At 34.9% G+C, this 26,858-nt stretch overlaps 1 protein-coding gene across 2 annotated transcripts in view; it reads right to left on the reverse strand.

The window, feature by feature from the left end:
* ANKRD36C (ankyrin repeat domain 36C) overlaps window positions 1-26,858 on the reverse strand; it is a 142,893-nt gene that overhangs the window by 81,439 nt on the left and 34,596 nt on the right. For both annotated transcript variants that reach the window (NM_001310154.3, NM_001393982.1), the window contains exons 13-24: window positions 26,416-26,446; window positions 23,569-23,635; window positions 20,978-21,038; window positions 20,379-20,409; window positions 18,160-18,226; window positions 14,744-14,804; window positions 14,257-14,324; window positions 10,790-10,829; window positions 8,617-8,645; window positions 8,459-8,531; window positions 5,246-5,274; window positions 5,084-5,156 (exon numbers count right to left, since the gene is read on the reverse strand). In NM_001310154.3, coding sequence (NP_001297083.1) covers window positions 5,084-5,156; window positions 5,246-5,274; window positions 8,459-8,531; window positions 8,617-8,645; window positions 10,790-10,829; window positions 14,257-14,324; window positions 14,744-14,804; window positions 18,160-18,226; window positions 20,379-20,409; window positions 20,978-21,038; window positions 23,569-23,635; window positions 26,416-26,446 — 630 coding nt within the window. The remainder of the gene's footprint in view (window positions 1-5,083; window positions 5,157-5,245; window positions 5,275-8,458; window positions 8,532-8,616; window positions 8,646-10,789; window positions 10,830-14,256; window positions 14,325-14,743; window positions 14,805-18,159; window positions 18,227-20,378; window positions 20,410-20,977; window positions 21,039-23,568; window positions 23,636-26,415; window positions 26,447-26,858) is intronic.

A 26,858-nucleotide genomic window follows, 5' to 3' on the forward strand; every position in this document is an offset into this window, starting at 1 on the left:
TCCCTTATGCAAATATTCTAAATGCATCTGAAGTGAGTTCACTTAATCTAAGAGTTATAATTTAAAAAATCATTTTATTTATACTCATGAAGACTCCTGATGTTTCTACATTTCCTGGATTCAGCAGTTCAACTTTCTCACTGTCTCTTCGTCCACTTTTGCAAAAACATACACATCAATGAAATAATGTGTAATCAGATTCCTATGAAAATAAACTAAACAAAGTTTCTAAATCACTAGAGACTTCTTTTCTTATAAATAACCAACCAATATGACATAATACATATATATACATATGTCATGATTGTCATGATTATTGGCAGTTATCTGTTTAGTACTCTTAAAATACATTCTTTGATTCCTTTTTTTTAAAATCTAGTTTCACATGATATACCATCGGGGTCTCTCAGGTTGTTTTACAAAATAACTACCTCAGCAAACACAGCTTTCCAAAAAAAAAACAAAAAACAAAAATCTGATGTGAACGAAGCATGTATCATTGATGTGCAAAACTTCTAGGGAGAAGAAATGAGACCCTGTGGGTTACCCTCATCCTTCTAACTTCTGCTTCTGCTTTCCATTAAGGGACTTGCCACAAGTCGCCTCATCAGAAACCTCCAAATTACCTCACTAGCTGCTTTCTTTGTTTACACCTGCCCAATTTGACATACATTCTTTTTTGTTCATAAATCTAATATCCATATTGGTGGACTTGATTCTTTGACCTCCACATTAGTTTCTTCATTATTTTCACCACCACTGTATTGTGACATCTGTACAATCCCATTCTGACACATGTGAAGATAAGGTTTTGCTTTATTAAAATGTTAAATATGTCAGACACTTGACTAACATGTACAAATTCCTTCTTCACAAAAGCAGCCCCATTGCCTCCTCTCTCCCATAGACACTCTTTCACAGCTGTTCTTCACTCACATCGGTTTGAGTATCTATCATCTCTCATTTTGTCTCTATGCTTTCACCTCATATTATGAGTTATTATCATAGGCTCAGCAGCCTATCCTACCTGTTTTCCTCTCCAGCAGACAGTACTGAGCAATAAACTAGAATTTTCCAGGATATGAACACTTTTATGTACACAACACTTTGTGGAGCTATTTTATGTTTAACTACCCATAACACCACTATGTCTATGCTTTCCAGAGAAACAAGCTCTGAAATTTTATTGAATATAACCTATTTAGAAACTTCTTTAACTACAATGACAGTCTCTCCTTGATGCACCAAAATCTTCAGAAATAACTTGTGAAGACTTGAAAACATGTCAGTAATTGACATGAAAAATGAAGCACTGACATAATTTTTTGCAGGTATAAAAAAGACAAGCTGAGATCCTTACTAGATCCAAGAAGAGCAAAGTACATTAGACAGGAAATAAATATGGAACAGAAACATTTTCATTTGTAATTAAAATTCCTCTATTTACAGTTTTCAGAAGAGAAAAAAATACACACACATACACACACACACACACACATTCACACACAAAAACCAGAGCAATATGGCTTTACGGGGTGTTTCTTCATCAAAGTCCTATTTGCCATTTGACATCTGGGAACACTCTATAGGGATCAACAAAGGGGTTCTAAATTGTGACCTGAGTAGATTAGAGTTTAACATTCATGAAGGGGAGCCAAGAGGACAAGTAACACTTTGACCATTGGCCATTTCCACTCCTTACTGTTAGTCTCTGAAAAGCACACACTGGATTTTCTCAGAGTCAGGACATGTCAAAAAGACATGCTTTAAGGGGGAAACAGTTGCAATCAACACAGCCATGGGAGAGATACAGCTATGCTTGCTAGGATTTCCAATACTTCTGTTTCATTTCTAATATAGTATAAATCAATAAAAGCAACCACGTAAGCATATCCATGTTGGTATGTCATCATATTTAAGTCCATATGGTATCAGCATGAAGAGAGCATAATATGCTGTAGTCATCACATGGCATATCATGAGATCATACAATAAATCAAGAAATACCTCACTGGGTCAATGTGGATAGATCTGAAATATATATCACTGATTTTACAAAGACCAAGTTGCATTCATTAAGTGCACTGCCTGAACTTTTCTACAAGTTTTTAATACACAAAATCAAGTCCTACATGTTATCTATGAATGTGCACATATGTTGTAAGAGGTTTTTAATGTGCATTTGGGTGATTTCTTTTTTTTTAAATTAATTCAAGCTCTTGGTTACATGTCAGCAGTAAGCTTCAGTATTATAGAAAACCCAAAACCGTAACAGCTCAGAATCACCGTCTTAAAAGGCTGTGTCTACCAAAGAGTCAGGAAAGCATGACCACTTACTTTCTTCATTTTTGAAACTCAGAGGTACCTCATGCACACTCCCAAATAAAACCGCACAAGTTCCTTAGTTTAATTAGATCCCATTTGTCAATTTTGGCTTTTGTTGCCATTGCTTTTGGTGTTTTAGTCATGAAGTCTTTGCCCATGCCAATGTCCTGAATGGTATTGCCTAGATTTTCTTCTAGGGTTATTATGGTTTTAGGTCTTACTTAAACGTTTAAGTCTTTAATTTATCTTGAGTTAATTTTTGTATAAGGTGTAAGGAAGGGGTCCAGTGTCAGTTTCCTGCATAAGGCTAGCCAGTTTTCCCAACACCATTTATTAAATAGGTAATCTTTTCCCCACTGATTGCTTTTTGTCAGGTTTGTCAAAGATCATATGGTTGTAGATGTATGGTGTTACTTCTGAGGCCTCTGTTCTGTTCCATTGTTCTATATCGCTGTTTTGGTAGCTGTACCATGCTGTTTTCATTACTATAGCCTTGTAGTGTAGTTTGAAGTCAGGTAGCGTGATGCCTCCAGCTCTGTTCTTTTTGCTTACAATTGTCTCGGCTATATGGGCCCTTTTTTGTTCCATATGAAATTTCCAGTAGTTTTTTCTAATTCTGTGAAGAAAGTCAATGGTAGTCTATAGCATTGAACCTATAAATTACTTTGGGCAGTATGGCCATTTTCATGATATTGATTCTTCCTAACCATGAGCATGGAATGTTCTTCCATTTGTTTGTGTCCTCTCTTATATCCTTGAGCAGTGGTTTGTAGTGTTCCTTGAAGAGGTCTTTCTCATCCCTTGTGAGTTGTATTCCTAGGTATTTTATTCTCTTTGTAGCAATTGTGAATGGGCGTTCACTCATGATGATTTTGCTGTTTGTCTTTTATCGGTGTATAGGAATGCTTGTGATTTTTGCACACTGATTTTGTATCCTGAGACTTTGCTGATGTTGCTTATCAGCTGAAGGAGATTTGGGACTGAGACAATTTGGTTTCCTAAAAATACAATCATGTTATCTGCAGAGACAATTTGACTTCCTTTCTTCCTATTTGAATACCCTTTATTTTTTCCTCTTGTCTGATTGCCCTGGCCAGAACTTCCAATACTATGATCAGAGTGAACAGGCAACCTACAGAACAGGAGAAAATGTTCGCAATCTCTCCATCTGACAAAAGGCTAATATCCAGAATCTAAAAGGAACTTAAACAAATTTATGAGAAAAGAACAAACAACCTCATCAAAAAGTGGGTGAAGGATATGCTCAAAAGAAGACATTTATTCAGCCAGTAAACATATGAAAAAAAGGCTCATGATCACTGATCATTAGAGAAATGCAAATCAAAACCACAATGAGATACCATCTCATGCCAGTTAGAATGGTGATCATTAAAACCTCAGGAAACAACAGATGCTGGAGAGGATGTGGAGAAATAGGAACGCTTTTATATTGTTGGTGGGAGTGTCAATTATTTCAACCACTGTGGAAGACAGTGTGGTGATTCCTCAAGGATGTAGAACCAGAAATACCATTTGACTTAGCAATCCCATTACTGAATACATACCCCAAAGATTAAAAATCATTCTACTATAAAGACACATGCACATCTATGTCTATTGCAGCACTACTCACAATAGCAAAGACTTGGAACCAGCCCGAATGCCCATCAGTGATAGACTGGATAAAGAAAATGTGGCATATACACATCATGGAATACTATGCAGCCATTAAAAAAGGATGAGTTCATGTCCTTTGCAAAGACACGGATGAAGCCTGAAACCATTATTCTCAGCAAACTAACACAGGAAAAGAAAACCAAATGCCACATTTTCTCACTCATAAGTGGGAGTTGAACAATAAGAACACATGGACACAGGGAGGGGAACATCACACACCAGGGCCTGTCAGGGAGATGGGGTCCTAGGGGAGGGACAGTATTAGTAGAAATACCCAATGTAGCTGATGGGTTGATGGGTACAGTAAACCACCATGGCACATGTATGCCTATGTAAAAAACCTGCATGTTCTTCACATGTATCCCAGAACTTAAGGTATAATACAAAGCAAACAAACCAACATTAATTCAGGTTGTTGGTTACCTGTAGGCAATGAATTGTAGTAGTATCAAAGACTCTAAGGCTAAAACAGCTCAGAATCATTGCTTTAAAACCCTGTATCTACCAAAGAGTCACCAAAAAATGATTAATGACTTTACTCATTTTCCAGAATCAGAGGTATCACACACACCCAAACTCACAAACAAAAGCACACACACACATACACATGCAGAAATTCAAGCTGGTAATCAGAGCATGTGATTGGGTGAAGACTCGAAGGTTCTCAGCGTGACAACACCGACATAAAGAAGATGAAGTTCTAACACAATTGTAATGTCAGCTGGTATAGCTTTTCTCTAGGTAAAGGACAGTATTGCAACCAGAAATTGAAGCACTGAAAAATATTTATAGTTTCAAAATTCATCTCCTTGAACCCCTAACATGCATACAAATTCCACACTGGGATCTTTATTACAACCTAAAAGGAAAAGCATCTGAGCTAGAGCTCACATTTTTAAAATTTCTTTTCCTTGTTCTTCTAAATATCATTTTATAAGCATAGACACTAACAGCATCAGCATCATTTAGATCAAATCCTTCTATCTTACTGGGGTAAAAGAAGTAAGAATCAGAAGGCTATGAACATTTCCAGTATATTCATGTCCTTCTTTCCAGATGAAATTTGTATTGGCAAATTTACCTTTTCCTGGAGGTGGTGAATCCTTCCTTCTCATGGCTGCTTTTGAACTGGGATCTGCCTCTTTCAGAGTAAGCTGAATGGGTTTTACAACATAATGATTAATATATCATGTATATATCACAAAGCATTTTGTTAATTAAAAATGAAAATATATTTGTTTACCGTGGATAAAGGAGGTCGCTCAGAAGATTCTACAAAGCAAAAGGGACACATAATTAAGTTTTCATAAAACATGTAGTCCAGATTTCAAGAGAGAGATTAGGTTTCCCATGACTACAACTAACACAGGAAAGTACTTCTACCAATGTGATCCTCTTAACTGAAGCCAAAAAATGTGATGTCAAAAGAAAGGACCAAATAGGACCCCAGAAGGATAAATGTCAAAGCCCATGGTAGAACGCTATGGTGTACCCTGAAGAAAATCACCCAAGAACCATTTATACTATAATACTACAATAGTTCTCCTGTTCTTCATTTTGTCCTCTAACTTAAAAACTATCAATTTCATTAAAATCTATCATTCACTTCTGCTTGCAGGATGTATTCTCAGTTCATTAGTTCAGATATCTACATACAGAAGCATAGTTAACAAAAATACTCATGTTGTCCACAGTCATGCACGCTTCTGGTGTTTTTCCATTTCCTGGATTCTCAACTTTAGCCCTCCTGCCATCTCTTCATTCACTTATGCAAAAAACGTATACATTACACTCCAAATACCTAATGTGTAATTAGATTCCCATAAAACAAATCTAACCAAAATATTTGAAACATCAGAGGCTTTTTTCATGTTAATCACCTTTTATATATCAAAATATTTGCCATGATTATCGACAGTTACATTTTAACAAACCCGCACATTGTGCACATGTACCCTAAAACTTAAAGTATAATAATAATAAAATAAATAAATAAATAAATAATACTCAAGAAATATATTTCTTGATTGTTTTGCTTCCACAGTCAGTTTGACATGCAGTGCATCACATTTTGCTAACATGAAGCACCTGTCCTATTGTTGCTGTGTGACCCCTACAGAGAAAAGAATTGAGTCCCTGTGGTTTACTCTCATTCTTCCACCTCTGCTTCCATTAATCTCTGAAGCAACAATAATCCAATATTCTGTTCGAGTGCGAATATACCAGGTCCACATAAAGTCAGTGTTCTCAGGTTTCCTCATCAGAAACCCCCAAACACCTAGCCAGCTGCTATCTTTATTTACACCATCCCACCCCACTTGTACTCTTTTTTGTTGATAAATCTAATCTCACTATCTGGTCTTCATTCTTTGCCTTCCACATTTTGTTCTTCATTATTCTCACCACCCCTGTGATCAAACCAGTAAAATCTCATTTTTATAAATATGAAGATATGGTTTTCCTTTATTAGAATATAAAAGTTACAGAAAATGGACTAACTTGTACAAATTCCTTCTTCACAACAGCAGCCCCATGTCCTCCTCTCTCCCATAGACACAGTTTCATAGTTTCTATTCACTCACATCAGTTTCATCGAGTATCAACTCTCATTTTATCTTTACGGCTTTATTTTACACTGAGGGTTATTATCAAAGACTCAGCAAACTATGTTACATATTTTCTTCTACACAAGAGATTACTGAGCAGTAAATAAGAATTTCTTTGGATATAAACACTTTTATGTACACAAACTTTTTGTGAAGCTAATTTATGGTTAAATACACATTACACCATTATGTGTTATGTGTTCCAGATAAACAGACTCTAAAATTTTATTAAACATGTTTAATTTTAAAACTTCTGCAATTACAATGACATAGTCTCTGCTCAATGCAGCAACATCTTCAGAAATCACTTGTGAAGACTTGGGAAAATGTCAGTCATTTACGTGAAAAATGAGAGCATTAAGTGACAACACTGCTTGCTGGTATAAACAAGACAAGGCTAGATCCTTACCAGATTCAAAGAGATCAGAGTGCCATGGACAAAAACAAATATATAAAACAGAAAGATTTTCATTTCTACCAAAAATTCGTGTATTTAAAGTTTTCAGAAAAGCACAAAATACAGGAAAACACAGCGGTGAGGCATTATAGAGCATTTCTTCATCTGGAGACTATCATTTGACATCTGGAAACCCTTTATAGGGCCCAACAAAGGGGTCCTAAACTGTGATTTGATCATTCCTGGAGTTCAACATCTATGTAAGGAAGCCAAGGTACCAAATGATACTTTGGCCATTTCTTCTTTCCAATGTCATTCTCTGAAAAGCATACACTGGAGTTTTTCAGAGTCATAACATGATGGAAAAACATGGCTCTAAGGGGTAATGAATGTACTCAATACAGCTATGGCAGTGTATACAGCTATACTATGGGTATCTGAAATACTTCTATTTAATTTCTTTATAGTACAAATCAATAAAGGCAACCACATAAGCAAATCTATGTTGGTATGTCATCATATTTATGTTCATTTTGTATCAGCATGAAGAGACTTTAATTAATTGTGGTGCAGTCATAAAACAAATCAAATATGTGGTGCAGTCATAAAACAAAACAAAGATGACCAAACTGTGTCAACCTGGACAGATCTGAAATATATTCCACTGATTACAAAAGCCGAGTTGCAGCTATTATGTACATTGTGTGAAAGCGTACAGAAGACTTGATACTTGGAAACAGATTCCACATATTACCTATGAAAGTGCAAGTATCTTGTAAAGTATTTTTAATGTGCATTGCAGTGACTTAAAAGTAAAAAACATTAATTCAGGCTGTTGGTTACCTGTAGACAATAAATAGTAGTAGAAGAAAATATTCTAAGGCCAAAACAGCTCAGAATCATTGTTTTAAAACACTGTATCTACCAAAGAGTTACAAAAGAATGATTAATCATTTTATTCATTTTTAATCAGAGATACACACACACATACACATGCAGAAACTCAATCCGGTAATCAGAAGATGTGATTAAGATTCTCAATGTAACAACACTGACATAAAGTCGTTGAAGTTCTAAAACAATTGTAATGTCAGCAGGTATAGCTTTTCTCTAGATGAAGAAGAGAGTATTGCAATCAATTTTGAAGCACTGAAAATATTTAGTGTCAAAATACACCTACTCAAATCCCTAACATGCAAAGGAATTCAACACTGGGATCTTTAAATGATGACAACTTTAAAGGAAAAGCATTTGGGCTAGAGCTCACAGTGTAAAATGTCCGCCTTATGCCTTAAAAATCATTTTATAAACAAAGATATTAACAAGAACATCAGCATATTTACATCAAATCCTTCCATCTCATTTGGATAAAAAGTGGGAATCAAAAAACTACGAGCATTTTCAATATTTTCATCTACATTTTCTAGAATGAAATTTGTAGTGGCAAATTTACCTTCACTGGAAGTTAGTGAATCCATACTTCCTAAGAATCTAGTTGAAATGTGATCACTGTCTTTCACCGTATGCTGAATGGGTTTGACAACATAATGATTAACATATCATGTATATATCACAGAGCATTTTGTTAATAATTAAAGAAAATATGTTTACCGTGAATAAAGGCGGTTGCTCAGGAGACACTACAAAGCAAAAGGAACACATAATTGACTACAGGTAAATATGACACAGCCTACCATCAATCATGCAGTGTTTGTATCCAGCTGAAATCTTCGTGCTTGCCCTTGAAATTGTTACCCATTAGGCTTTGGGTTGTTTTGCTCTTGTTTTGGTTAGCACACAAACATGACAGGAATATACACATGAAAAATCACAATATAGATTCTATAAAACATGCAGTCCAGATTGCAAGGGTGAGATTAGGTTTCACATGACTACAAGTAACATAGAAAAGTATTTCTACCAATGTGAATCTGCTGGATGAAGCCAAAAAAGATGACGTCAAATGAGAGAACCAAAGCGGACCCCAGAAGAATAAATGTTAGAAACTATGAAGTTGCAATGAGAGTGCATGAAAATGTATCATTCGCGGCCGGGCGCGGTGGCTCACGCCTATAATCCCAGCACTTTGGGAGGCCGAGGCGGGCAGATCACGAAGTCAGGAGATCGAGACCATCCTGGCTAACACGGTGAAACCCCGTCTCTACTAAAAATGCATAAAATTAGCCGGGCGTGGTGGCAGGAGCCTGTAGTCCCAGCTACTCAGGAGGCTGAGGCAGGAGAATGGCGTGAATCCGGGAGGTGGAGTTCGCAGTGAGCCGAGATCCCGCCACTGCACTCAAGCCTGGGTGACAGAGCGAGACTCCGTCTCAAAAAGAAAAGAAAAGAAAAGAAAATGTATCATTCGCTTCTGCTGGCAGGAAGTGCTCTCAATCATTAGTTTAGATATCTACTTGGAGAAAAATCGTTTCTAAAAATACTCATGTCATCCACAGTCATGAAGGCTTCTGATATTTTCAGCTTCTGGATTCTCAACTTTAGTTCTCTTGCCATCTTTTCATTCACTTATGCAAAAAAAAAGTATGCATTACACATCAAATAACTAATGAGTACTCAGATTTTCATTTACAAAATGTAACCAAAAATCTCTGAATCACCATTGACTTTTTTTTCATAACAATCAACTTTCTTTTTTTTATTTTTGACATGGAGTCTTGCTCTGTTGCCTAGGCTGGAGTGCATTGGCACAATCTCGGCTCACAGCAACCTCCGCCGCCCGGGTTCAAGTGATTCTCCTGCCTCAGGCTCCCTAGTAGCTGGGACTACAGGCACATACATGCCATCACGCCTGGCTAACTTTTTGTATTTTTAGTAGAGATGGGGTTTCACCATGTTAGCCAGGATGGTCTCCATCTCCTGACCTCGTGATCCTCCCGCCTCAGCCTCCCAAAGTGCTGGGATTACAGCCGTGAGCCACCGCGCCCGGCTTAATCAACTTTTACCTATCAAAATATTTGCCATGATTATTGACAGTTACACTTTTAGTACTCAAGAAATAAATTTCTCGTTTGTTTTTTTCTAAAGTCAGTTTGATATGCTATAGCATAGCAGCCTCTGAGGTACATTTATACAATGGCTATTTCATCAAAAACAGCACTGTTTTTAAAGAAAACTGCCAATGTTTTGATATCCAAGTGCATCCCAGTTCACTAACAAACATGAATGAAGCGCATATCATTGATGTGTAACCCCTATAGAGAGAAGAAATGAGTTCCTGTGGTTTCCTGTCGTTTTTCTACCCTCTGCTTCCAGTAAGCTCCAAAGCAGCAATAATTTAATCTTCTCTTTGAGTGGGAATATACTGAGTCTACATAAAGTGAGTTCCCTCAAGTTTCCTCATCAGAAACCTCCAAATTACCTAGCCAGCTGCTTTCTTAATTTACACCATCCCACCTCACATTTTTTTGTAAATATACTAATGTCCATTTCTCAACAATGAACATTATATTTTGATCTACAAGTTTAAGTGTTCACCAAAGTTTTAAGAAAAAGTATGTTTAAATTAAATTATATTTACTATTAAAAATTAATAAATTATATTTATAATTTAATTAAAATTAGGCTTATAATTTAATGTAATTTAACAATTAATTTAATTTTAAATTTATTTTAAATTATAGTTATATTTATTTTCAAAAATTATATTAAAGCATAGAAAATTATTCAGCTATATTCACTACCTCACCACCTTTGTTTCTTTGTACACAAAAAATAACATTATCATTATTTGATTGCTCTCATGGAGCACTTTTTATAATACCAATACCATTTGCTTTTTGTCCAGTTGCTGGTAGTGCTTTTCCTTCCTATTAAAAAAAAAAAAAAGAAATCTTCAGAAAATGTTATATTTACTACTCAATCGGTCAGTAATTCAAGAAACATTTTCTGTGTCTATAAATTCATAAGGTCTATACTGGAAAATCTGATAATATGAATAAAATACCAATTTTATTTATTTATCAAGTGAAAAAAGAAACATAAAAACAAACAAAAGCAGAAAGACACAATTCATTATTTCTACAATTCAAGTCAATAAAATACAGTGACAGCACAAAGGCAATAACACTTATTTCTACTTGGGAAGCTTCTGAGACACTGTAAATTTAGGGTCCTATTTTTAAAATAGACAAGTGAAGACTAAGAATGTGAAGTGTTTCTAGTGAGGGCAGCATGTGCAAAAAAATGAAACAGCATAGCCAATAAGAACTACCACAATAACGTGGTAAAACTTGGGCACAGACAGAGAAAGTGGAGTGGAGAGATAAAATGGGAGAAACAGGCCAAACCACAAAATAAGTGTTATGCTAGAATGTAAATGTTTCTTTCGTGTAATGAGGGTCCAGCCGTAAGCAGATGAGTTAGATCAAAGTAAACATGTTTAAGAAAGGTCACCCTGAAAGACATATATAGATAGATAAACATGGGGAGAAGAGAGAAACAAAAACGAACATTCCAAAAGTATAGGGCAGACAGTGTATTACAGTAATAAGATACGAGAAATGGTTAAAGGTAGAAAATACAAAATTTGGTGAGTCACTGGATTGGCAATGTGAGGGAAACCTGGAGTGCAGTTTTTCTGCTTCAATGTTTCATTGCTACTTTCTTGGTGTTATTTACTAAAATTGGGACGCCAGATGACAGAGTAGATTACAAAGAGTCAGGAAAGAATCTGGAAGGCAGTTTGAGACCTGTCAAATTTGAGGCACAAAGGGGACTTAGAAGACTGATCTGGGTAAATACATTTGGAGTAGAAATAGATGACCTTACTCAAAAAAACCATATGTTGTTGAGAAGGTCAACATTTGTAAAATATACTAAACTGGTAGGATTCGATAATTTAAACCTATGAAGAACCCTGAAGTTTTGAAAATAAAAAGAAAACAAAATATGGGATTCAAAATTTCAATTATATATTTCTATACTGGATTAAAAGATATAAAATATATTTTCTTAATGTATGCAGATATTTATTTCTGGAATATTATGGTCATCTGCATTTTTGAACTTAATGAAAACAGTTATCTAAACCAATAATTCAAGGTATCCTAAGAAAGCTCATTTTTAAAAAATCATCTTAAAAGTTTTTAACTTGTACGAATGTTTATTCTATTATAGAATTATAAGGCATTTTAAGTACTACTAAAATATAAGAGAGAAATGTAAAACCTATTTTAAAGTTCATATGGTTTTCTGATTCTCCTGTAAATGATATACTAATAGCTCTAATTGCCTACTTATGCCATAAAGATAATAGTTAAAAATCAGAGAAAGGATCAAGTAAAATAATCATATCACCATGCAAGCTGAAGATTTACATGTCTTCAAATACACTATGCCTGTCAGTCAGGACCCAATACTCACATGAAGAGAGAAGAAATTTATTTGAAACATCAAGTCAAAAGGATTCCTGAGTTTTAGAGCTGAATAAATTTATGTGCAAGGTATAACAACTATAAATACTAAAGTTAATAATGCTTCCAGAGAATAATACAAAATGTCCCAACTGTAGGAGATAGTTTTAAAAGTAAAAAGTAATATTCCAGAGATAATTCTGTGTACTCTGTTGGCAATATTTCTTTCCTTACGATTCTATAAAAATAGGTACTTTGTTTAGAAAACAATCATGAGTGTTGACTGCATTCATCACATGTATGTTCTTAAGTACAGATATTATCAGCACAAGGTAAGTCAGACTAGCTCCAGAAATAAGTAATAATTTATTTCTTTAAGAGGGTTCCAGGTTAAAAATATATTTTTTCTCATTCAATGAATATAAATTAGAAACCTCCTATAAAATTAACCAGAAATGGCTAGGCGTGGTGGCTCACGCCTGTAATCCCAGCACTTTGGGAGGCCGAGGCGGGCAGATCACGAGGTCAGGAGATCGAGACCATCCTGGCTAACACAGTGAAACCCCGTCTCTACTAAAAATATAAAAAAAATTAGCCGGGCGTGATGGCGGGCGCCTATAGTCCCAGCTACTCGCGAGGCTGAGGCAGGAGAATGGCGTGAACCCGGGAGGTGGAGCTTGCAGTGAGCCGAGATCGCCCACTGCCCTCCAGCCTGGGAGACAGAGCGAGACTCCGTCTCAAAAAAAAAAAAATTAACCAGAAATTTTAATTTTTATTAATTTATGTATAAATTAATTTTTATTATTTTTTATTATTTAATTATTTATTTTCCCTCTTATTATCAAAAAAGGCTAAAACAGCTCCAAGATTATGGAAAAGTGAAATAAATTAGTTAAGCAACTTAGGAATATACCAAATATTACTTTAAAAAACTTTTAACAAGAGTCAAAAAGTAATGATTCATTCAAAATCTGATATAGCCTAAAACACATTTTATTTTGCATTATCTATGAACACAGCATTCACTAGATAAAATATAAGACATCACTTTACTGAAATTTTAAAAAGTGAGGATGAAATTTTCTTTCCATTTAGAATTTTTAAATTAATAAATAGATGTATATATTTTCAGTGTACGTGTGATGATTTGATCCATCTATATAATCTAATGAGGGTAACAGAGATACACATTACCTTAACTATGTATGTTTTATTTAAACTAGAAATATTCAAGTTATTCTCTCCTGGCTATTTTTAAATGTAAAACAGAATGTTAAATATAGTCACCCATAAATTTTCTTCCAATACTTTATTAAAATCACCCGTAAGTCACTCAGAAGAATCTGAGAATTTTTTAATTACTTGGCTTTCTTTTCTTAATCTATATTTAAAATAATTCTATAATATGATATGGAGACATTCTACTGTCATTTAAATTCACCGCTTTTGAGGTGTTTTATACTAATCTTTGTCATCTTGACACTCTTATTCAACTCTGTATTCTTACTTCTTTCCCCTCCTCACCTTTGTATTTGTGGAGCTGTTCTTTCAGGTTGCTTTCTACTTCTTTCCTTCCCTAATGGCAAACCTAAGAATCATTTACTCCCACAACCTTTTAGGAATCCTAGTCCCATGCATATATTTCCCTTGTTGTCACACTTCTTTTCTATTATTACCTTGAGAACTTCCATTCCTTTATAGGATCCTTGTCATCGTTATAAAGACAGGGAGATGGCAAGTGAATAAAGCATGGGAAAACTATTTTCCAAATAAAACAATTTACCATTGTAAAATTAAAGATCATTAACAGATAAGAGTGAGTTGGTGAACAGGACTGGACTCTGATTATTCTATGTTGGCTTTTAACCACATCTTCATTTACCTTATCAACATTTTGGTCTTCAAACAAGGTTCCATTTTCTGTTTTGTCAATGCCACATGCAGCATCTACTACAGTAAAAACAAAGTCAAGAGTAGATGAAATGCATGTAATTAAGAATCAGTAAATAAGAACCGGGTGTGGGGGCTCACAGCTTTAATCCCAGCAGTTTGGGGGGCCGATGCAGGCAGATCATATGAGGTCAGGTGTTCAAGACCAGCCTGGCCAACATGGTGAAACTCCATCTCTACCAAAAATACAAAAATAGCCAGGTGTGGTGGTGCACACCTGTAATCCCAGCTACTCGGGAGGCTGAGGCAGGAGAATCACTTGAACCCAGGAGGTGGAAGTTGCAGTGACCCAAGATCATGCCACTGCACTCCAGCCTGGGCAACATTGAGTAACACTCTGTCTACAAAAAATAAGAAAGAAAAAGAAAGAAAAAAAAGAATCAGTAGATAATATAATAGTCAGGTTTCAAATAGCTTACACTTTTCTGCAGATTGTTGAGAAATAGTCCTTCTGTTTGTAAAGTATGGTTCTGAAATATTCTAGAAGAAAGACACAATAGGTTTAAGAATAACATGCAGCAAGTTAAAATAATGATAATTGCCACCATTACTACATGATCTAACACAAAAAGGATGGACTTTGAAGTCACTCATATGTAGATTCAAACCTCAAGTCTGCCATTTACTTATCTACATATTCACATGGGATGATGATTATGATTGGTGATACAGATATTCTCAAAATGTTACTCCTTTCAACCCCAGTTGATTATTATACAAATACTATGATATCCATTAGTTTCTTTTATTAACCACAACAAACTGGGACAAAAATTTACTCATCTGTAATTTAGAGTATGACTGAACAAAACTAATAATAAAAAGTCAATTAATCACTTTATTTTTCAAAATACTTAGGCATGATATATATTTGTGTGAATTACTTTCTGCGGGAAAAAATGTGAGAATGTAGTTTTTAGTAGTACTATCTTTAAACAGTGTAAGTTGCTTCTATTCTGTGTGTCAAAAGCTAAAAACAAATTATTGTATAACCTCCGCTCCTTCCAAAAAAGACAGAACAAAGCAACCATCCACCTTATGGAGCAATGATTCATGAATGAAGGCCACACATAGTTACTAAATAGAAAGCTGTAACTAAGTATCCTGACAACAGAAACAGAGGTGAAATGAAAGAATAGACACTAAAGACATGCGGTCTGCAAGGAAAATATTAGACTGAGGTAAGTTATTTTTAAACAAAGGGGAAGGAGGGAGAAACAAACAAAAAAAGAGACATGACCAGTCAATCAAATATCAGCTTAAAAGAAAAGCTTGTGTTCATAATATATGCCTAATAATACTGGTTAGCATTTACTCGACAATTTGTTTTGTGTAAATACTTATGTAATAAAAAGTTTAATTTGTTTACTATAAAATAACACATCCCAAGAATTAACCATGATCATTCACCTGAAAGCTGAAACATTCTTACTACAAACAGAGAGAGAGAGACAGAGAGAGGAAAAAAAAAAAAAAAAAAAAAACAATAAAATTCCAGCAACTTAACACCTGGAGAAAGAATTTTTATTCAGAATTCGAAAGAGTAATGTATGTCCTTGAACAGACACTTCTCAAAAGAAGACATTTATGCAGCCAAAAAACACATGAAAAAATGCTCACCATCACTGGCCATCAGAGAAATGCAAATCAAAACCACAATGAGATACCATCTCACACCAGTTAGAATGGCAATCATTAAAAAGTCAGGAAACAACAGGTGCTGGAGAGGATGTGGAGAAATAGGAACACTTTTACACTGTTGGTGGGACTGTAAACTAGTTCAACCATTGTGGAAGTCAGTGTGGCGATTCCTCAGGGATCTAGAACTGGAAATACCATTTGACCCAGCCATCCCATTACTGGGTATATACCCAAAGGACTATAAATCATGCTGCTATAAAGACACATGCACACGTATGTTTATTGCAGCATTATTCACAATAGCAAAGACTTGGAACCAACCCAAATGTCCAACAATGATAGACTGGATTAAGAAAATGTGGCACATATACACCATGGAATACTATGCAGCCACAAAAAATGATGAGTTCATGTCCTTTGTAGGGACATGGGTGAAATTGGAAATCATCATTCTCAGTAAACTATCGCAAGAACAAAAAACCAAACACCGCATATTCTCACTCATAGGTGGGAATTGAACAATGAGATCACATGGATACAGGAAGGGGAATATCACACTCTGGGGACTGTTGTGGGGTGGGGGTAGGGGGGAGGGATAGCATTGGGAGATATACCTAATGCTAGATGATGGCACATGTATACATATGTTACTAACCTGCACAATGTGCACATGTACCCTAAAACTTAAAGTATAATAATATAAAAAAATAAAAAAATAAAAAAAGAGTAATGTATGTCCTGAAAAATATGTATTTAATAGAACATGGTTGGGGCTTTAAAAATTTAAGAAAATTTAATCTAAAATCCTAATCTAAGCTTCCATTTGGAAGATATTAGAAAACACGCTGTATCCACCTTTCCTATTTCCTTTCCATCTTTTCCAATTTTCATTTTCTTCTATAACATATTTTCTCAGGATAACTCACCTCAACTTATAGATTCTCAACATTAGAACAAAAGATAAATTCAGAACATTCAAGACATTTAATAGATTTAATTATTAGATATCTCAGGCATATTATGTTACCTGTAACATTCCATTTAAAAAAAGCCCATTTCCCTGTTTGTTGATTCACATTAAAAACTAATAAAATGTTTCTTACATGCAAGACATTATTCTGGGTGCTTAAGATACATACAAATAGATTTTCTAGCTTCAAGTGGCTCATAGTAATGCAGGAGTTTTACAATTATTTTTTCAATAACTAAGCACAAAAGCCTCTGAAATTTGAAACTTAGAATGAGATACAAAGACCCTGAGTGGATTATTTTTTAATTACAATGCAAAAACCTTGTGAAATTAAAGTCTGATCATAGAAATATGAAGAGTCTCTGCTTATCAAACAGGTTGTTATTTTAAACAAAATGCATATTCTTCAATTAGATAAAGAGTTTAAAGTATACTCAATAAAAAAGACTTGGAAAACACAGTGTAAGCCCTCTCTACTATAGATGTGAGAACAGAATTTAAATTTCTAATATTCCACAATTTTTTAAATTAGAGATAAGCTCTTGCTGTATTGCCAAGCTTGGTCTTAAACTCCTGGGATTAAGAAATTCTCCTGGCTTGAACTCTTGAATAGGTGGGACTACAGGCACATGATACCATGTCTAGTTAAATTTCCACAATTTGTAATATTATTTTAGCCTAAATATATAGAACCAAGAATAAAAATAAAGAAGTAGCTCTCTGCAAAAATACTGTATGATGTTAAAATAGGTGTACAAGAAATGAAAAGAAACTATATGCTATGTGTAACAGGGTGATTCCATGATTCCCATAATAAGTCATCTGATGTAACAAAGATTCATTTAAACAGAGGTATTATTAGTCATACTCATATGATATACAACTCAGAGTAAAAACACTTACTCAGATAAGCCTAGACCAAAATTTGTATCTCCTCTGTTGTGGGAAAGCGTTCCAGAACCACATTTTTCTGTCACTATGTATTTTCCAGCAATTTTTTTTTCAGATCACACCTCTCAAAGTATTTATCAACTATTTCTTATTTGCAAAGTAAAAAAAAATTAAAATTAACCCCCCCTATTTCTTTAAAATGGTTATCTCTAATAAAAGTTTTAATACTAACATAAAACAATGATAGGTAGACAATTGCTAAGTTTTAGAAGAAAATAATATAAAAAATGAGATTCGGAGTGAGAAAATTAATTTCACAAGAGAGTACTCTACCTCAGATTCCAAAGCAAACTTATCCTTTGTCACAGCCTGTGCAAAACGGTCCAGTAGGTAGAGACACCTACAGAGCAAAAAGATATGAAAAAAATGAGCACGTTCATTTCTTAAAAGAAAACAAAAACCGTCAGTCTATACATGCAGGTCCCCTCCAAAACAAATGGTAAAACAAAGTCTGAGGAAGGTCAGTTATCCTTATATTAAATAATATTTCTTGGTATAATTAAGATATGGCTTCCATTTTAGAAAACATTTCAGTTACCTATTTCTGCTGCCACTTCTCCCAACCTATGAAATATCCAATGCAGACTCACCCTTAAACCCATAACAATTAGTGACAGGCATTATAATGGCACAGCCAGACAATAATTTATCCTTATAAATTATCTACCCTAAAGACTAAACTGAAAATCCAATTGATATCTGTCACAACTTTTGTTACTGAACTGCAGTAAACCTGATAACCTAAAACAAGGTAGAAAAGGCACGGTCTCTTCTCCATTATCTATTTCTGATTCAAAGACTAATCTGTGTCACTGGAAAATGGGAGTCTTAGATCTTCAGCATGTAAGCTACTTAAAGAGGGCCCACTGATTCTCTTCACCCTAGAACACTACAGGGAACCCCCTGAAAAACTGCAAATGTTTGAAAGCTGAGTGTACAAAAGTCAAAGTACAAATGTACTTTGGGAATATTCTTCACAGAAGATTAAAACATTAAAAATTATAAAATCCAATTATTGTCATTATATAGATCCTGCCTTATTCAGGTCCACAAAAACCAGCAAGCTTAAGAACCTTCATAGACACTCAGATACCCAAGAGAGGGACTAGTGGAAAAGTCTCCCTCCTGAGTACTTAGAGCTTCATTTCATTCATCACTATCTAAATATCTTCCTTCCTATGGGCTCCCCCTTCTGGATCCCTCTTCAGCAGGGATCCATGGCAATCCCCAATCTACATCTTCAAATTTGGCTGTCCCCTGCAAATTCCATTCTTATCCACTTTCATTGGGTTCAACAGCTCATTCAATTCTCATCCTCTTCCACTGTGTTCACTAGAGCCACTCCTTCTTTCTAAAACTAAAATCACTCAATGACAGAATGATGTAAAAGAAGACTGCGTTTTGAACTAAGAAACCTGAGTGCAATTCTCATTTCTCTGATTTACTGTATCCAAATAATTTTCTTTCTTTGAATTTCAGGTTCTCCACCTGAACAACCACTTGATCAGGATGTTAAGCAAGGATTCAAGTATAGAAGATATTTTGTTTAGTCTCTAGGATTTCTTAACATTCCAAAATTCTATGCACCTCTGATTTTGTCTATAGGAAAATGGGGACTATTTAGCTGCCTTAAATGAAAACTATAATAGAAGATCATAAACCCTTAGAAAAGCAGAAGAGAAAGTAAAAAGAAATCAAGAAAATATTATTAAAATGTCACAGAAGGAAAAAAGAAGAATCCAGAAAATAAGAAAAAGCTTCAGCAAACTAGGCAGGGTACTCACTTAAAGAGAAAACCTAACTGGTTAGGCAGTAAGTGGAGAAATGAATTAGAAATATCCTTTTAATATATGCTAAATATAGTTAACATAACATGGACTATATTTAGATATTCTCCAAGCACAGTAAAATAATATTTTTCTAGGACTGGCCTGGTCTTGCTTATGAAAAACTTAGGGTCCTGTGGCCACAGATAACTGATAACTGCCTTTAAAATTTGATGGTTAAAAAAAAAAGTAATATGGTTACCACTGCCATTTCAAAATATTTGGACAAACTTTTGGAGTAGCCAGGCTTCTAAATAACACTCTAAAGACAGTTAATATATAACAAAATGTGACTTTCTGAATTGATCTGATGTAAATAAGTACCGTGGCCCCATTGCTGCATAGGCCTCTATCCATCTATGCTTAGGGGCAAATGAAGTGATTTGAGAGCCAGGCAGGATGATGGTCTAATGTTGGGTTGGCTACCTGTTAACTGTGGAATCATGAGCCAATATTTCAACCTCTTTAAAGCAGAGTTGCCTAATTAGTAAAAAAGCAATAATAGCACAAATAGTTTCTAAAGTTGTGTGAAGATGACATGACATGACAAATGTTAAGCATGTAATATGGTGTCTAGCACAGAGTAGAACACTAAACAGATACTAGTTTCTCTTCTCGCTATTCACTTAGTTAACATATCACTTTAAAAAATCTCTGAAATCATACCTGTCAACAGCCTCTTCAACAGGAGGAAGCACTATTAAAGAAAAAGTAAAATGCATTTTAAATCAACAATAGAACACTATAGAATACTAAAAACATAAAAAAGCACAGTGGCTTGTTCCTATAATCCCAGCTACTCAGAAGGCTGAGGCAGAAGTATCACTTGAGAAGCCAAGGAGTTTGAGACCAGCCTGGGTAACATAGCAAGACTCTATCCTTATAAAAATAATAATAATAATCAACAAGGCCTGGTGTGGTGGGTCATGCCTGTAATCCTAGCAGTTTGGGAGGCCTAGGCGGGGGAATCACTTGAGGTCAAAAGTTTGAGACCAGCCTGGACAACATGGTGAAACTCCAAATCTACTAAAAATGCAAAAATTAGCCAGGTGTGGTGGTGCACGCCTGTAATCCCAGCTACTCGGGAGGCTGAGGCAGGAGAATCACTTGAACCCAGGAGATGGAAACTGCAGTGAGCCAAGATCACAGCACTGCACTCCAGCCTGTGCTGCAGACTAGTAAGACTGTGTTTCACAAAGAAAAAAAAAAAAAAAACAAATGAAGAATCAGTAAATACTACAATAGGCAGGCTTCAAATAACTTACCATCTTCTATAGATCGTGGAGAAATAATCTTTCTCTTTGGGATGTATAGTTTTGAAATAATCTAGAAGAAAAACACAATAGGTTTAAGAATAACATGGAGCAAGTTAAAATAAGGATAATACCCACCATTACTACGTGATCTAACAGGAAAAGTATGGACATTGAAATCACTCATATGTAGATTCAAACCTCAAGTCTGCCATTTACTAATCTACAGATTCACATGGGGTGATGGTTATGATTGGTGATACAGATATCTTCAAAATGTTATTCCTTTCAACCCATGTTGATTATTATACAAATACTATGATATCCATTAGTTTCTTTTATTAACCACAACAAACTAGGACAAAAATGTACTCATATGTAATTTAGAGTATTACTGAATAAAACTAATAATAAAAAAAGTAAATTAATCACATTATTTTTCAAAATAGGTATGCATGATGATGTATGTTTGTGCGAATTACTTTCTGTGGGAAAAAATGTGAGAATGTAGTTTTTAGTAGTACTATATTTAAATGGGTTGGCATCAGAAACAGTACAAGTTGCTTCTATTCAGCGTGTCAAAAGCTAAAAACAAATTATAGTATAACTTCAGCTCCTTCCAAAAAAGACAGAAAAAAGCAACCATCCACCTTATGGAGCAATGATTCATGAATGAAGGCCACACATAGCTACTAAATAGAAAGCTGTAACTAAGTATCCTGACAATAGAAACAGAAGTGAAATGAAAGAATAGACACTAAAGACATGTGGTCTGCAAGGAGAAAGTTAGACTGAGGTAAATCATTTTTAAACAAAGGGAAAGGAGGGAGCAACAAACAAAAAAAGAGACATGACCAGTCAATCAAATATGCGCTTAAAAGAAAAGCTTGTGTTCATAATATATGCCTAATAATACTGGTTAGCATTTACTCGACAATTTGTTTTGTGTAAATACTTATGTAACAAAGAGTTTCATTTGTTTACTATAAAATAACACATCCCAAGAGTTAACCATGATGATTGATCTGAAAACTGACACATTCTTACTACAGAGAGAGAGAGAGGGAAAGAAAAAAAAAAACAATAAAATTCCAGCAACTTAACACCTGGAGAAAGAATTTTTATTCAGAATTTGAAAGAGTAATGTATGTCCCAAAAAAAAGGTATTTAATAGAACATGATTGGGGCTTTAAAAATTTAAGAAAATTTAATCTAAAATCCTAAACTAAGCTTCCAGTTGGAAGATATTAGAAAACAGGCTGTATCCACCTCTCCTATTTCCTTTTCATCTTTTCTAAATTTTATTTTCTTCTATATGACATATTTTCTCAACATAACTCACCTCAACTTATACATTCTCAACATTAGAAAAAAAGATAAATTCAAAACATTCAAGACATTTAATAGATTTAATTATTAGATATGTCATGCATATTAGGTTACCTGTAACATTCCATTATGAGAAAGCCCATTTACCTGTTTGCTGATTCACATTAAAAACTATTAAAGTGTTTCTTACATGCAAGACCTTATTCTGTGTATTCCAGGAAACATACAAATAGGTTTTCTAGTTTCAAGTGCCTCATAGTAATGCAGGAGCTTTACAATTATTTTTTCAATAACTAAGCACAAAAGCCTCTGAAATTTGAAATTTAGAATGCGATACAAAGACCCTGAGTGGATTCTTTTTAATTACAATGCAAAAACATTGTGAAATTAAAGTCTGACCATAAAAATATGAAGAGTCTCTGTTTATCAAACAGGTTATTTAAACAAAATGCATATTTTTCAATTAAATAAAGAGTTTAAAGTATACTCTAAATAAAAAAGGCTTGGAAAACACAGTGTAAACTCTCTCTAATACAGATTTGAGCACAGAATTTGAATTTCTAATATTCCACAACTTTTTAAAATTAGAGATAAGCACTTGTTATATTGCCAAGCTTGGTCTTAAACTCCTGGGCTCAAGAAATTCTCCTGACTTGATCTCTTGAATAGGTGGGACTACAGGCACATGATACCATGTCTAGTTAAATTTCCACAATTTCTAATATTATTTTAGTCTAATTACAGAGCCAGGAATAAAAATAAAGAAATAGCTCTCTGCAAAAATACAGTATGATATCAAAATATGTGCACAAGAAATAAAAAGAAACTATATGCTATGTGTAACAGAGTGATTCCATGATTTCTTTGATAAGTCATCTGATGTATTAAAGATTCATTTAAACAGAGGTATTATTAGTCATACTCATATGATATACAACTCAAAGTAAAAACACTCAAATAAGCCTAGACCAAAATTTGTATATCCTCTACTGTGGGAAAGCATTCCCGAACATCATTTTTCTGTCACTGTGTATTTCCCAGCAATTTTTTTTTCAGATCACACCTCTCAAAGTATTTATCAACTATTTCTTATTTGCCAAAGTAAAAAAAATTAAAATTAACCCCTCTCATTTCTTTAAAATGGTTTTCTCTAATAAAAGTTTTAATACTAACATAAAACAATGATAGGTAGACAACTGCTAAGTTTTAGAAGAAAATAATATAAAAAAAGAGATTCAGAGTGAGAAAATTAATTTCACAAGAGAGTACTCTACCTCAGATTCCAAAGCAAACTCATCCTCTGTCACAGGCTGTGCAACAGCATCCGGTCTGTAGAGACTCCTACAGAGCAAAAAGATACAGCAAAAATGAGCACGTTCATTTCTTAAAAGAAAACAAAAACCGTCAGTCTATACATGTATGTCCACTCCAAAAAAATGGTAAAACAAAGTCTGAGGAAACTCAGTTATCTGCATATTAAATAATATTTCTTGGTATAATTAAGATATGGCTTCCGTTTTAGAAAACATTTCAGTTACCTATTTCTGCCTCCAACTCTCCTAACCTATGAAATATCCAATGCAGACTCACCCTTAAACCCATCACAAATAGTGACAGGCATTATAATGGCGTGGCCAGACAATAATTTGTCCTTATAAATTATCTACCATAAAGGCTAAACTGAAAATCCAGTTGATATCTGACACAACTTTTGTTACTGAACTGGAGTCAACCTGATAACCTAAAACAAGGTAGAAAAGGCACGGTCTCTTCTCCATTATCTATTTCTGATTCAAAGACTAATCTGTGTCACTGGAAAATGGGAGTCTTGGATCTTCAGCATGTAAGCTACTTAAAGAGGGCCCATTGATTCTTTTCACCCTAGAACACTACAGGGAGCCCCCCTGAAACACTGCAAATGTTTGAAAGCTGAGTGTACAAAAGTCAAAGTACAAATGTATATGTTGTTAGATTGTTATTGGGAATATTCTTCACAGAAGATTAAAACATTAAAAATTTTAAAATCCAATTATCGTCATTATATAGATCCTGCTTTATTCAGATCCACAAAAACCAGCAAGCTTAAGAACCTTCATAGACACTCAGATGCCCAAGAGAGAGACTGCTGGAAAAGTCTCCCTCCTAAGTACTTATAGCTCCATTTCATTCATCACTATCTAAATATCTTCCTCCCTATGGGCTCCCACTTCTGGATCCCTCTTCTGCAGGGATCTGTGGCAATCTCCAATCTATGTCTTCAGCATAGGAAAGCCCAGATTCCTCAAAAGATGGGCTAACATAATTGAGAGTAGGAGCTCTCTATTCCTCTGCTTCTGGAAAGTAAGTTAGTCTCAGTCATCCACCCCAAGCATATGCATGTTACCAACTACCCAAATGAAGCTTCATTGCTGGTTTGCCGGCCAATCCTACATTTGTCCTACCCTACATGTACATGAGAGAATTGAGAAAAGAGTCAGAAAAAAAGAGACATCCACCCTGGATCACAGATCTATGTACTTAAGCAATCTCCAGCTCCCTAGTTCTTGAGGGATTCTAAGCCCTCTGTAAGCTGGGATGGAAGAAGATGATACCACATTCCTATCTCCTCTGGAGACTCTTTCCAGTGGCTCAAATTCTTTTAACATTTTTCAATAAAACCTTGAAGTTTGTCAGTTCCTCCAGTTAAACAAACAAAAAGGCAGCAAACTCTTCAGAACTCCTTGAATGCCATATTCTAATATGCCTTTCTTGATAGCTCCCAACATCCTGTGTTATCATTTCCCTTATCTTTATCAAACTTGCATTAAACCAAATATTCAGATTTTTCCCTAAAACCCTCATTTCTATCAAACTAAGAGTTTGTTTCTCTTCAAATTTGGCTGTCCCCTGCAAATTCCATTCTTATTCACTTTCATTGGGTTCAACAGCTCATTCCATTCTCATCCTCTTCCACTGTGTTCACTAGAGCCACTCCTTCTTTCTAAAACTAAAATCACTCAATGACAGAATGATGTAAAAGAAGACTGCGTTTTGAACTAAGAAACCTGAGTGCAATTCTCATTTCTCTGATTTACTGTATCCAAATAATTTTCTCTCTTTGAGTTTCAGGTTCTCCACCTGAACAACCACTTGATCAGGATGTTAAGCAAGGATTCAAGCACTAGAGGATACTTTGTTTAGTCTCTAGGATTTCTTAACATTCTGAAATTCTAAGCACCTCTGATTGTGTCTGTAGGAAAATGGGGAATATTTAGCTGCCATACATGAAAACTACAAAAGAAGGTCTTAAACCCTAAGAAAAGTGGTAGAGAAAGTGAAAAGAAATCAAGAAAATACTAAAATGTCATAGAAGGAAAAAAGAAGAATCCAAAAAATAAGAAAAAGCTTCAGCAAACTAGGCAGGGTACTCACTTAAAGAGAAAACCTAACTGGGTAGGGAGTAAGTAGAGAAATGAATTAGAAATATCATTTTAATATATGCTAAATATAGTTATCATAACATGGTCTATATTTAGATATTCTCCATGCACAGTAAAATAATATTTTTCTAGGACTGGCCTAGTCTTGCTTACAAAAAACTTACGGTCTTGTGGCCACAGGTAACTGATATCTGCCTTTAAAATTTTGATGGTTAAAAAAAAAAGTAATATGGTTACCACTGCCATTTCCAAAATATTTGGACAAAGTTTTGGAGTATCCAGGCTTCTAAGGAATACTCTAAAGAGAGTTAATATATAACAAAATGTGACTTTCTGAATTGATCTGAGTTACACCAGTACCGTGATCGCATTGCTGCATAGGTCTGTATCCATCTATGCTTAGGGGCAAATGAAGTGATTAGAGAGCCAGGCAGGATGATGGTCAAATCATGGGTTGGCTACCTGTTAACTGTGGAATCATGAGCCAATATTTCAACCTCTTTAAAGCAGAGTTGCCTAATTAGTAAAAAAGCAATAATAGCACAAATAGTTTGTAAAGCTGTGTGGAGATGACATGACATGATAAATATTAAGCATGTAATACGGTGTCTAGCACAGAGGAGAACACTAAACGGGCACTAGTTTCTATTCTCTCTATTAACTAAGTTAACATATCACTTTAAAAAATCTGTGAAATCATACCTGTTTAAACACTGTTCAACAGCAGGAAGCACTATCAAACAAAAAGTAAAATGCATTTTAAATCAACAATAGGAACCTATAAAATATTAAAAACATAAAAGAGCACAGTGACTTGTTCCTATAATCTCAGCTACTCAAAAGGCTGAGGCAGAAATATCACTTGAGAAGCCCAGGCAATTCAGACCAGCTTGGGCAGCACAGAAACACTCTATCTTTATTTTTAAAAAGTTAAAAAAAAAAATCATGTAGGCAGGGCTCGGTGGGTCACGCCTGTAATCCCAGCACTTTGTGAGGCTGAGGTGAGTGGATAACTTGAGGTCAGGAGTTCGAAACCAACCTGGCCAACATGGCGAAAGCCGGTCTCTAGTAAAAATACAAAAATTACCAGGTTGGTGGTGCACACCTCTAAACTCAGCTACTCAGGAGACTGAGACAGGAGAATC

The sequence above is a fragment of the Homo sapiens genome, chromosome 2 (assembly GCF_000001405.40).
Source record: "Homo sapiens chromosome 2, GRCh38.p14 Primary Assembly".
Classification (NCBI taxonomy): Eukaryota; Metazoa; Chordata; class Mammalia; order Primates; family Hominidae; genus Homo; species Homo sapiens.